This window comes from Homo sapiens, chromosome 5 (assembly GCF_000001405.40).
Source record: "Homo sapiens chromosome 5, GRCh38.p14 Primary Assembly".
Lineage (NCBI taxonomy): Eukaryota > Metazoa > Chordata > Mammalia > Primates > Hominidae > Homo > Homo sapiens.
The window spans coordinates 26,973,285-26,987,632 of record NC_000005.10 but is presented as its reverse complement, the minus strand read 5'-3'; the positions used below and the strand labels follow the sequence as shown (position 1 = coordinate 26,987,632).

General features: G+C 32.4%; 1 protein-coding gene across 1 annotated transcript in view; it reads left to right on the top strand.

Moving 5' to 3' along the window:
- The window catches only part of CDH9 (cadherin 9), a 157,990-nt gene that overhangs the window by 50,954 nt on the left and 92,688 nt on the right, over nucleotides 1-14,348 (top strand). The window lies entirely within an intron of this gene.

Sequence of the window (14,348 nt, the reverse complement as noted above, 5' to 3'; positions counted from 1 at the left end):
AAGAAGACACTATCTTTAAGAAGATAAGCTTCTGTGTTAGTAGGAACAAAGTTGCTCATTACCAGTCAGAAGCAGACAATAATAGAGAATATGTAACTCCCTTCTTATGTTCAATTTTGAGGAAGCAGATTCATTGCCTCTCTTTCATTGGTGTTTAGAGACTTCTTTTTCTTTAGCTCATTATCTCTCCAATTTTCTTTCTTTAGTGGCGTGACCTTTCCAACATCCATAATTTTCTATGTATCTATCATCCTTTTCCTTACCAATCACATTCATACTATTCTAAACTCAGGACAATTCATTTGTTAACTATAATTGTTCCCAATTTACACCCAATACTGAGGAATGTTAAAATTTTTACAACAAAACGAACAATTTTAAATACTTGCAGTCTACAGATCATAAATTTATTTATTTTTTGAGTCATGGCATATATGTACTTGGAGAGACTGTAATGGTTTGCATATTGTTTGACTCACTGACAGCACCAGGCACATAAATTAGATCAGGCCAAAAATGAAAAAAAAAAAAAAAAAAAAAAGAATACAAGTGCCTAATATCACAAATGTCATGCTTGTAGCTTTTAAAACAGGAATACATTTGCTCTGTGAAATTGCCAAAATTTTGATCTAATTCTTCTTTCTGTGTGTGGGCCAATCAAAAGCAGCCTCCTTTATCAGAAGCCTATTATTTTCTCTTCTTTTGACATTTCTCTTTTCTGGTTCCATAGGTCATGCTCATTCCGCCCCATTCAGTTCCCTTGCTGGTTCCTTTTTGCCTGTTATTTCTTCTCAGGTTAGTCATATGGCATCCTCAGGCATCCCTCATTTAACATCACTTTTCACACTACAGTTAATAACTAACATCAGGAAATTCAAGTTCAGCTAGCAAATGTTTTTTGTCTAAGGATGTGAAATTGCCTTACGATTCTCCAAGGAAGTGTATAAAGGACACATTGAGGTCACAGGGCCTTACAGAATCAGTTTTATCCTTGGAGATTCACAGATACAGAAGAATAGCCACAGATAAAAGAGTCGCTCATAATCCTAAGGCAGTTAAGGCGCTACAGCAAGCATTTATTTTAAGCTGAAAACAAAAATACTTCCTCTAAAAATTGAGTGTACATTAATTAATTTCTAAATTGACCACCATTCTTGTTCTCACATTTTAAATATACATTATAGTTTAAAATTTTGTGTGCAATCATGCTTCCTTTTTAATTAATTCCATAATCTGTCATAAACAATTACTAAATGTACATGCATAGCTTTAATTACCTTTCATATTTTTTTCATTTTTGTTGGAAAAATGGCATTTTGGATTTATGCGTGGACAAGTTAGGATGTGCGAATTTTTTGCCAATTTATTCTTGACAACGGGGTTATGAACCACAAATGGAACACTCATTATAATATCAGATGTTTGGGGGAAATAAATACAATGAAACCAAAACCACCTGTCAACTATTTCTATGTTTCCAGTAGGAAATAATATGTATATGAAATAGACACCTCAGCAAAATAAAATACTTATACTACTTTTTAAAGAAAAAACTCTTTCTTTTTTTTAATAGGGACTTATCTAAGATATTCCATTACCACATAGCTAGTTCATTATAAAAGTGGGCTGACTTTCAACCACATCTTAGCTTTTACTAACTTATTAAGGGCATTTACTCTCTCTTTATCCTGCTTTTCTGGCTTTTGACATCACTATTTATTTGCATATATAGTGGCTAACTGGACCCTTAACTCTAAACTTAGTCAAACATATGAGTTCTGATAAGGATTTAACTTCTTGAGCACCTCACAGATTGTCTTTTTGACCACAGTGTTTCTGGTCTCCCTGGGTAGACCTCAACCTAGTCTTCCAGGATCCATTGATAGCATCCCCTGTAAAGAAAAGGCCTGTCGTATTCACCACGGACCAGGATTGGGAAAGGCTAAGTAGCTTCTAATGGGAAGAAATTTACATGGTTTCTTTATAGTTTTATAGAAGCTGGGAATCATAGAAAATGATAGACAACATATTAATTTACAGGTGCTGTAAAATTGCATGAAATTGGGAAGATATATTTTTAAAGGTTAAAACGAGGGTTTGATCCTGAATTGAGAGGAAGCAGTTTTAGAAAAATAAAATAGTGCAGAAAAATTTAATAAATTATATACATGTATACACACAAACATGCAACTTATAAGATTTAGTCTTAATTGTGACACGTAGTAAATATTATAATTTAGAAGCTGTTTAAATTTGACAACCCTCAGATTCTTGTTGGGTTGATTTACATTGTCATTAAGATTTCTTTAACTCCAAATTTCTGGTCTTTTCTAAGATTTTGGAAAGGCCTGCCATTAGGGACAAGAAGAGCTAGAAATATTTTCATAAATATGTGCATGTGGACAAATCTAAGAAGGTAGAATTGCGTGTATATAGCACAATAAAAGAAAAAAAGAGGCTGGTCTAATAGGATAAAGTTAGACCTTCACTGTGAAAGGTCCAGAATTCTAGGATTGGTTGTTTTTGCATACAGCATGAAATGTAAATAATCTGTTAAAAGCCTTTGTACAAATCAGTTATGTTGGGAGCACAGAACTGAAATAATGAGTTTTCTTTCATTGTCAGGATGGATTAGAAGAGTAAGAAAATGAGTTAAGATAATTTTAATAAGGCAATACTGCAGAATTTTTTATGGCATTTCAGACATTTGCAATATAGGAGAGAAGTCAGAAATGTTGGAATAAATAGCAAGTTTTTGTTTTTCGCAATAATGCAATTTGAAATTTGGTTGGTCATTCTTGACTGAAACTATCAGAGATTTACAAATATTGTTTTATGTAATAAGCGAAATGTTGTACTGTTCCCCAAGAAGGAAAAAAAGTCATAATAATTGTCATCTAGCTTCTCTATAACTTGAAGAGACACTTGTGACTGAATTATTTAGGTAGAATTGCAATACTGCTCAGGAGAGAAATTAAAATAACAAGAAGCATAGCAAATGTCCCTACTATTCTGTTAGAGAATCTTTATAGCACTTTATTTTGTTATACATAAGTTCAAAGTCCAGAATAATCCCTGCTTATCATGGATCAATAATCAATTAACTATATCCCAATTAGTAATGAGAATTGAATAGAATTTACCTATTTGATTTTAATATCTGGTTGTTAAACCACATTTATTTTATGAAGAGAAACCCAATACCCAGACACAGCAGACATAGTATTTATTTTTCACAAGGAATAAAATGGTGTTTATTTTTCACAATTGTGAAGATTCATTTAGTAATTTGGAATATCAACTTAATTGACCATTACATTTTAATTTAAAAATATGTATTTAGCACTTGCTTTGTGCAGAGCAAGGAACGTGGAGCTAATGAGCCATCTATAGGTAGCCACTATTAAATAAGGTATCTTTATTGCAGAGTTACCTCTCAAGTCTTTATAATTTTAATTTAGAAACTTTTGTTATCCCATTCTGAAATCATGAATGTAATCATAGATTCTAGAGTGGAAAGGGATTTTAACATTGATTGAGCTCTGCCTTCATGGTTACAATTGGTTTATCTGTTACCTAAAACAACAGGAAACACAGTTAACAAAAGAAAAATTGGTAGGAATCTGTTTTATATTTGATTGTGTATCAAAAGGTGGAGTGACACTTTCACGTTTACATATGCTAGTTTGTGCACTAAGTATTAATATATAGCTGAAGTATATATAAAATAATGGACTCGAATAGGTAACTTTTTCTTAAGCTTTTCAGGTATGTCAGTTTGATATGTAGAAGTAACTGATGGAATATAAATTAGAAATAGAAATAGAAATAAAATCTCAAATTTATTTAAAGAGTTTTGATGAGTTGTTATAGTATATCACAGTGTTTTCCAGAATCTAAGTAAAATATGTTTATAAAGGTTTGAAAGTATCATTACTTATAGTGCAGTACATGGAGCAGCTGCTTTTGATTTGTAAATACATTGTATTCCAAAATTCTCTTTATGAATTAGTTGTTTATAACTCAGAACACACACAAAAATTAAACATTATGACTACGCTTTAAGGACAGCATACTGAGGCGAGTTTAACACTGAATTCTATAAAAACTCACTGTTAGCATATAGCTCCATGTTTTATTTTTCACTGCCAATACTGTGTAATCACTTTGCTGGAAAACTGCTTTAGCACACTAAACTTATCTTTTCCTTGACTTTATTTATACTTATTTTTGTAATGATCAGAAGCAGTTTATACAATATCTCTTGAATAATCCCATTCTCTAGCACAAAAATACCTCTAGAAAATTAACTGAAATTCACTTAAGTTGAATTCAAATTGTCCGTTAGTATTCTTGGAAATTCCAGCCTATGTTCTATGTCCCCATAACTTTGTAACCTGAGTTCTAGTCAACATGATATTTCTTCTTCCACACACCTGACCTTTTGTTCATCACATCCGCAGACCCCTTCCCAGGGAGTATCTTACCCACTTTTCCATAATCTCATATCTGTTTGTTGTTGTTGTTGTTGTTCACTCTATGTCTTACCACAACTTCTGTGCACAATCTTACATAAAACCCATTTCATTTTCCCTAGCTAGAATTATCCCTCAAAACTATGAGATCATCTCTTAAAATCTTATTCATAGACCAGGCGCGGTGGCTCACGCCTGCAATCCTAACACTCTGGGAGGCGGAGGCGGGTAAATCACGAGGTCAGGAGTTTGAGACCAGCCTTGCCAAGATGGTGAAACCCCATCTCTACTAAAAAAAAATACAAATATTATCCAGGTGTGGTGGCAGGTGCCTGTAATCCTAGCTACTCGGGAGGCTGAGGCAGGAGAATCACTTGAACCCAGGAGGCGGAGGTTGCAGTGAGCCAGTGAGCCGAGATCGAGCCTGGGCGATGGAGCAAGACTCCATCTCAAAAAAAACAAAAAAACAAAAAAACAAAAAAAACTTATTCATAGCACAAGTTGAATTATTTGGATACATCTTCTACATTGTCTCCTAGTTTCTGTGACATTTGGGCTTTCACTCTGTGTTGGATTTCTTTCCCCAAATTTTTGACAATATAGGTTTACTCAAAATTAATATTTAGCTACTATTTTAAAAATCTTTATTCTTTATTAATCTGAATCCTGAGAAATTGACATTATGAAAAATAGAAAAAGCAGAGAAAATTTTATAGAAATATATTCCCTTTTTCTGACAAATGGTACATCAAAGTCAAACTTCCTCTTTGCTGTTCTTCTGATTCCTTTCCTATATTTCCATTATATTGGAGGGTTCTCATAACTGTGAAGCCATTTAAAAAATATTAAGTGTGGTAGAAAATGGTTCTTAATATGGCTACCAAGTTGTATGTTTAATTTTGTTTTACACTTCCACCACTGATTTCAGTGTTTTTGAACTACTTCTAATATTCCAACTCATCTTCTAAACTTGCACATGATCAAATCCACCTTTATATATACACTCATCAATAAGGAAGGAAGGGAGGAAGGGTGGGAGGGAGGGAAAAACTTGCAGATGATCGAATCCACCTTTATATACTCATCAGGAAGGACGAGACGGAGGGAGGGAAACAACAAGTGACAGAAGTGACATTATCTTCAGAAGGGTATGGAGAGAGGGATGGGGAGAATTATTTATGTACAAGGCTGTAAATGATGATGATGATGATGATGTCATTATGAAAGCAGTATGTGCTCCCTGTTAAAAACCAGGAACATAAAATTTAAAAATCATTTTAAAAAACCTAAGATATTTATAATGATTTCACTAAGACAAGGGTAAGTTGTCTAAATATTTTTCTACCTATTTATTGGTTTTATTTTTGACACTGTTGATTTTCTATTGTTTTTATGCCTGTTTTATCTTGCTTTTCTCTGTCAATGCTACATTTTGGCATACTGTTAAAATGTTAGTATTAGCCATGTCATATTATGTCATATATAAAATCATAAAAATTTAAAATTTTTCCACACATTTTGTTTAGACTCTCTGGTTTTATACATGCAAGCATGTATAAAAACATGATCCACCTGCCTCTGCCTCCCAAATATTTTAGCTGATATTTTTAGTACAGTTGGCTCTCCATATATGTGGATTCCACATATGTTTATTCAGCCAACAGTAGACTGAAAATATTCAGAGAAAAATAAAGGATTGTTGCACCTTTAGTGAAAATGTACAGACTTCTTTTTCTTGTCATTACTCCCTAAACAATATAGTATAACAATTGTTTACATTGCATTTAGAGGGTATTAGGTATTACAAGTAATCTAGAAATGATTTTAAGTAAACAGAATGATGTGCATCGGTTAAATGTAAATTCTGCACCATTTTATATAGGGACTTGAGCATTTGCACATTTTGGTATCTGCAGGGATTCCTGGAACCAATCACCCACGGATACCGAGGGATGATTATGTATTATAAATTATCCTTTTTAAGGCTAGATTACTGGAGGGAGAATTCTCAAAATTGAAATATACGAATAATTTTAAAGTTCTGGGTACATATTAGCCAATGGCATTTCAAAAATTTATACCTCTTCTCTTCCACCAACAAAAAACCAATGTACCGACATGGGGCGTTAGTTATGCTAGATATTTGTCTGGTTGGGACTGTATTTTAATGTGAAATTTAGTCCTGTGTAATATTATGGTTCAATTAATTTTGAAAAAACTGAGCACCTACAGTGTGGAACACTATCTTAAGTCCTAGAAATCATAGTAAATAAGATTAATTGGTCCTTATCTTAAAGAATTTCTCTATTATAAATGCAATGCTATTATTGCTCATTGCTGTGAGAAAGACCTGCTAATAGCCTCAGTTCAGAAAAAGTAGACATTTTTTCTTCTGACTCAATAGACTGAATTCCTAATACATAAACTGTATTTAGCTTAATTTTGCACTAGAATCATCTCCAAATTAATAATGTATGCATGTTTGTTTGTTTAGAAACTACCATGTTTCCTTTTTCTGATGACCAGACATTTGTACCAGATATTCACAAATATTGCAACTGTACTCAAGCAAATCTTTTATAATTTCTGCATTATAAATCCTAATAACTGATATTAAGAGTCTTATAGCTGCAGTGGTGGTGTTTATGGAAAAAATGCCAGGGAAATATTGTGAAAATATCTAACTTTCTTTAAACATTTTTTTCAGGTAATTGGGGTCACTTTAGATAGACAATTGAGTATACACTTAGTAAAATTTACTCAGTAAATATTCTAATTCGTAGCCAGAATTTCCAAGGAAGGTGATTACTGATTCATCATATCAGAAATTTATGTTAAAAACAGAAGCATAAAAAAAGTGTTCAATAATAATGAATAAGTGAGTGACTAGGCAAATCTAAGAAGATGCCTTTTTTTCTACAAAAAGAGAAAATATTTGTACATGACTATTTTGTGAAACTTCCAACTTCCTCAATATTTTCCAATAACAAATGTTTCTCTTGAAAAACTATAATAATATTCTCCCACAGATTTTTTAGAAAAAACTACATTTTAAAACTACTTTGGTAAATGTTTCTTATATACTTGAATGTTTATTACATACTTGCTGGGTATAGTATTCTTAGGAAAAGAATTTTAGGAAAAATTTAACAATGGTGTTCAATTCTCTAGCATTCCATATTTTGTGTCTCCATATTTAAATTCTTCCTGGGAGTAAGAGTTTTAAATGCTCCATTTAAAAATGTTTCTCTTTACCACTGTCATTTTTTTCTCATTTATTTTAATACAGTTATTAGGTACATATCTAATGATCTTTCTTTATATTTCTGATTAAATATTTCATCATTATGAATACCAACCTTTACCTGTGATAATACCACTTACTTGAGGTTAACTTTGCCTCCTAAGAGTTTACCCACACAACTTTTCTCATGAGTGTGCTTGTGTGGTTTATCTTTTATCATTCTCTTGCTCTCAGCCTTTCTGTATAAGTCTATTAAAAATCCAGCTGTAAGGATTTATTGTCATATAAAGGGCTCAGAGTTGGTTTATTCTTTTTACGCAATCTGACAATATTTGGCATTTAATTGGCTTAAACCCATTCATATATAATGCCATTATTGATATATTTGGATTTAAGTCTGCCGTTTTCTTGTTTTCTGTTCCCCCCAGTTGTTCTTTATAACTTTGTTTCTGTTTTTTTAATTTTTTTCTATCATCTTTTGGAACAATTAATCATTTTTTTAAACATCTATGTTTATGCTCTTTATTGGCTATTCTTGGCTATACTTCTTTGTGTTTTTATGTTTTTAGTCTGTATTTAAGGCATCTCAGGATTCATTATTAATTTGTTACAGTATAAATTGAATTAATAGTGTATATTTTAGCATATAATACACTCATCTTACAATAGTATAATTTATCTTGCAAGACTTTGTTCTATTTTTGTCATATATTTTTCTTATATATATTGTAAACTGCATAATGCATTGTTAATGTTTATTATTAAACAATTCATTATTTATTTTAAAACTTTTAGAAATAAAGATAATCTTTTCTATTAATTTATATAAATATGTCTAGTCAGTGCTTTTTATTCTTATCTATAGTTCAGAATTTCTGTGTGACATCATTTCCCTTCAACTTGAAGGATTCTTTCAGCATTACTTGTAGTGTGGGTCTGCTGGAAACAAGTTTTCTTAGCTTTTCGTTAATAGAAATATCTTTATTTCATTTTCATTTTTGAAAAATATTTTAACTGGATATAGAACCATGGATTAATCTGACAGTTTATTTTCCTTTTAGCACTTAAAATTGTTGTTACATTGTATTGTGAATTATATTACTTTTAATCAAAAGTTAGCGGTTATTCTTATTGTTGCTGCCCTATATGTAATATGTTTGTTTTTCTGGCTGCTTTTAAAGTTCTATTTATATCTTTGCTTTCAGTATTCTTAATTTGATACCTAACTCTGTTTTTTTTTCTTTTTAATTCTGTTTGAAATTCACTGGCCTCCTTAGATCAGTGAGTTGTTTTCATTGGATTTTAAAATTAAATGAGCATTTAAAAAAAAAGTTATTTTTGTGGCCACTATCTCTTCCTTTTAGAAACTTCAAATACAAGTATTTTAGGGCATTTCATATCATCCCATAGTTGGAAACTATTTTTGGTTAATATAATATTGTCTCTGTGCTTAAATTTGGAAAATTTATTTTCAGATTTATTGTTTCTTATGTTTCTGTGTCTAATCTACCATTATACATTTTTAATTCAGTTATTATAATTTCAGTTCTGGGTTTCCTTTATTATCTGTTAGAATTTTTACATATTTTATGGCATTTCCCATGTACTTCCAATTATTTTAGTATTCTCTATAAATTCTTCAATATATTGATGTCAATTATTTATAAGTCTTTGTCCCACTAAATTCAATATCAGGGTCTTCTTTAAGTCTATTTCTATTCACTATCTTTTTTTTATTATGTGTTAGAATGTTTCTGTTTTTTTACTCTCTAGAAAGCTTAGATTATATACTAGACATTGTGATTAACACATTACAGAAATTCTATTATCTTGCTTTAAAGAGTGTTGAGTTTCGTCCCAGCAGGAAGTAAAATTGCACTGGATGCTACTTTGATCCTGTGTAGGTTTGGTTTTAGAAATTTCTAGGCAGGCTATTATTTTGTTTATTCCCTGAGTCCTGTAGTGTAACCCTTCTTAGTACAGCTTCCTTAATCTTAAGTTATTACTCTACTAATGTTTCACTGAAAACCCCAAAGTGTTTACCAAGCACATCTACTTAAAAGGAACTTGAATTTTAAACTCTTCTCAGTATCTGAAGTGCTTCAAATGTCTCTGAGTTCTTACTTGTGTCTTACTGTGTACATGTTCAGTTTAGGTGTCATGCATGTGTATGCCAATTTTAGGGTCACCTCCTCTGTGGCTTCCTCCATTCCTGGATCTTTCTCCTTTCAATTGTTAACCAATATGGCAGCCTTGAATCCTGACCCTTAATTCTTAAACTTCATATTTTACATGACACATGAAATGAAGTATTCCCTCAAAGAAATTAATGTAGAATTCTTTTTATCCTCTATTTGCTTGTAATCTTTCCAGTCTTTGTTTGCTCCTGGTTATTATTTAGTGCCATATATATATATATATATATATACACACACACACACGCACACATATATATCTCTATATAAAATTTTAATATACTTTGTAGAATGTTACTTATTGAAAACAAAACGGTCAATTATATTTGATGTCAATACCAAACTGCCTTAATTATTGAGGCATTATGGTTTTATTTTTCTGTCTGGTCATGTAAGCTCCCCAACTGTAGTCCTCCTTTAGAAGATCACTGTGACTTTCAAAGTCCTTTAGATTTTCATAAAATTATCTTGCCAGTTTCCATTAGTCTGAGAAACTGTTTGAGAATAAAGAAACTAACATGAAATGCCTATTTAAGAAAATGTATAATCTTGCATTGAATTTTGAATTTAAGTTAGAAATTGTCATAATGGCATTACTAGAACAATGGGCATATTTGAAGATGGACTGTTTCTTCTAATGTGGAATATAATTCTATTGTTAAAATTATTTAATTTAAATGTATAATAATACTATGATTATATTAGACTATTTCCTTGTTCTTAGAGTATAGATTCTGAAATCTTCATTTAGTGGTATAAACAAATAATATATCTGCAAATAAGAGATAGTAATTTTAGTAAATATAATACATACAATAATACAGATAACAAAATATTTTATGCTTACTAATATTTATAAATTGATAAGAAAAACATAAGAGAAGATATAAATTAAACCAAAAAGACTTAATAGATAATTCACAAAAGATGATATCCAAGTGGCCAGTATGCATAATAAGATGTTCAACAATTAAAAAATGCTAGAAACATAAAAGGAAGCAATATATGGAGAAATCAAATATGCATAAAAATTAGAAGGCTACTTGAGCTCAGGAGTTCAAGACCAGCCTGTGCAACATGGCAAAACCTCATCTTTACACAAAAATACACAAAATTAGCCTGGTGTGGTGTCCTGCGCCTGTGGTCTCAGCTCTTTGGGAGGCTGAGGTGGGAGGATTGCTTGAGCCCGGGAAGCAGAAGTTGCCGTCAGCCAAGATCGCACCACTGCACACTAACCTGGGTGAGACCCTGTCTCAAATAACAAAACAAACAAAAAATTAGAGGACTGTAAAATAACCTAAAGATTAAATGTTATCACAATCAATATGCCTGTGTATTTTTGGTAACTTAACATTTTTCAATCTTATAGGAAGGTCACTCAAATTCTGCCAACTTCTGTATACTCTTTAGCCAGATTCACTGATTATCAATATTTCATCCAATCTGTTTCATCACTATTTCTGTTCATATAGAGTTTATGTTAAGGTAGAAATAGTTCAGGTTTGTCATTACGTCTAGAACTTGCCCCTGCTTGAGATCTACAGAACTTTTGAAGCACTCTCAAATTCACACTAACTTGGTGGAGGATTGAACTCCAATTTCTTTTTCCTCCTCATTAAATTTCTGTTTATTTCCTTAGATTTCTTGCCAACATTTTCTACTAAGTGACTTGGATTTCTGTCTTGTGCATGTGAAGTTTAGACAACAACAAAACAGTTGGGCATTTTAAAAAGAGACCTGGAGGTTTCACTCTCTGTGACTCCTCTCTAAGATCGTGCCTTCCAATTTCTTACCACTGTCTCAGGCTTAAACGCTAACCTCGGTCTCCTCAGCACAATAATATTGCTTCTCTCTGTTTGAGCTCTATCTATACAGTCTCTACTACCCATAACTGGGAATTACCCTCAGAGGGAAAGCCTGGTTATGATATAGGCTATAAGAAGCTTAAATTAAGGCCATAAATTTTGCAGTTCTTCCTCTTTGGTTGGTGGCCAGTGTCAATAAATTTTTGTCTATCTGTATATTTGTTTGTTTGGGTCAGACTTTCTTAATAATCCTCAATGGGTATATCTGTCCAACACAACAACTTTGTGAAGAGAAAAACCTGAACACCAGGATTGCTTTTGAGAAACACAGCACAATGTGAATATGCATGTGTCACACTAAGGCTTATAATATTGTAGTATTTAAAAATTTTTCAAATGTGCTAAGTCAAAATAAACTCTCTTGTTGTTTACCCCAAAGCTATACTTACTATTTCAGTTCATGTTTCAATTCATTAGGTAGAGAGTTTTATATCATAGGTGATGGTATGACTCATTCTCTTATTTCAATATGTCACTCTTAAGAATAAGACTTTCTATATTTTGAGGTGCTCCAGCATGTTAAGAAACATGAGAGTTCAATGCTTCCTTATTGGAAAATAATTCAAACCTTCAAATTGGAATCTGCTTTGGCGGTATGTAAATATTTTCTAGTCACTTCCGGTCTAGATCTCGCAAGTCTATTTGAGGGTCACATCCCTTCTTTTCTGGTAACAATGTCTCAAGTGGCTGTGAAATCAGGAAGTAGCTTTCCTTCTTTCCAGGGCAATTCTGTGAGCACTTCCACTCACATGTCAATCAGAAAGTGAGGGCAGATGTCAAAGGTCATAGTCAGCCTTTATCTTGTAAACTTTCTGTTTTTTTATTCTATTATATGTATATAACAGATATGGGGCTAAGGGTGGGGAAAATGGAGAGCTGTTGGTCAAAGGGTCAAAACTGTTAGTGATAGGATGGATAGATTCTAGAGATCAAATGTACAGCATGGTGACTACAGTTACAATACTCTGTTGTATACTTGAAATTTGCGAAGAGAGTAGATATTGTTTTCTCAACACACACGCACACACACACACACACAAAAGGGTAACTATATGAGGTGATGGATATGTTAATTAGGTTAAGTGTGCTCACTTCATAATTTATATGTATATCAAAACATCATATTGTACACCTTAAGTAGATACATTTTGTATTTGTCATTTGTATACCTCAATAAATCTTGAAAAAATCAAAATAAATTAACACTCATGTCACTGTTTTGTCTTTTGTATTTTATAAAAATACTCCCATCAATATCCATTCAGACAAGTTTATTCCTGAAACTATAGAAGCCTCACCAGCCAGTTCAGTGCCTGGCACACATTTACACTCAATTCATTGTTGATTTTAATCTAGGTTCTTTGAGCACAGGACTATAACATTCTCTATAGTCCTATTGTAATCACGGCACTGATTAAACACAAGATAGGAGATCTCAAATGAACAGGCGAATATCTTTCAAACCTATAGAACTGCTTTGTTGGAATTCTACAAAGATAAAAAAAAAGCACCTATCATGTTTCTTTTAGTTATTTGTCTTCATAAGTACAAGCTCATTATTTTGCTTGCTATAGATGGCCTTTTTTAACTTCTTTCTTTTCTATTATTTTTTTAGATGGAGTCTCACTCAGCTGCCCTGGCTGAAGTGCAGTGGCGCAATCTCATCTCTGCAACCACTGTCTCCCAGGTTCAAGCGATTCTCTAGTCTCAGCCTCCTGAGTAGCTGGGAATACAGGCACCCACTATCATGCCCGGCTAATTTTTGTGTTTTAGTAGAGACGAGGTTTCACCATGTTAGCTAGGCTGGTCTTGAACTCCTGATCTCAGGTGATCTGCCTGCCTTGGCCTCCCAAAGTGTTAGGATTACAGACGTGAGCCATCACACCCAGCTATAGACAGCCTTTTCTTAACATGAATAAATGATCTTAACAAATAGAGCAGAGTAGGAAAAAAGTAAGTTTTAAAACATACTATGCAAGATAATTAAAATGGGGGCATATTAAAAAGCCTAGACTTTACATATTGTTTTGTTGATGTTTCACTGCATTTTAAAATATAAAAAGGCATTGTAAACACTGTTTTGAACCTTAAATGTGTTCATCATATTAAAAAAGAAAATGAGATAATAACACAAAAAGAAAGGAAATCCATTCAAATAAATATTTATTAACACGGGCTCCCTAACATGTATCAGGGCAGAGAGCGAGACACTCGAATTGGTGAAATTTCTTCTAGTTGGAATTACTCGAAAAGCTTTGGCCATGGAAGAGGTTGAAATTGACGAATAGTGTTATATAATTACATGTTTGCAATAAATTTAAATTCGGTCTTGAATTTCAAGTAACAACATCAGTTATTAATATGTCTTGTGCTGCTAATCTTCAAGGAACATCTTTTGTAAAAAAAAAAATACAAAATAAAATAGATACTAAAAAGGGGATTGTAAGCTAATGTACAAAAGAAAATGATACGTTCATGCAATCAGATACCTAGTGGGACCTTCCAGAGGCTAAACAGACCATTGTGGCTCAAGTTTTCCAATTTCTTAGGTCATTAACTGAAGTCATAA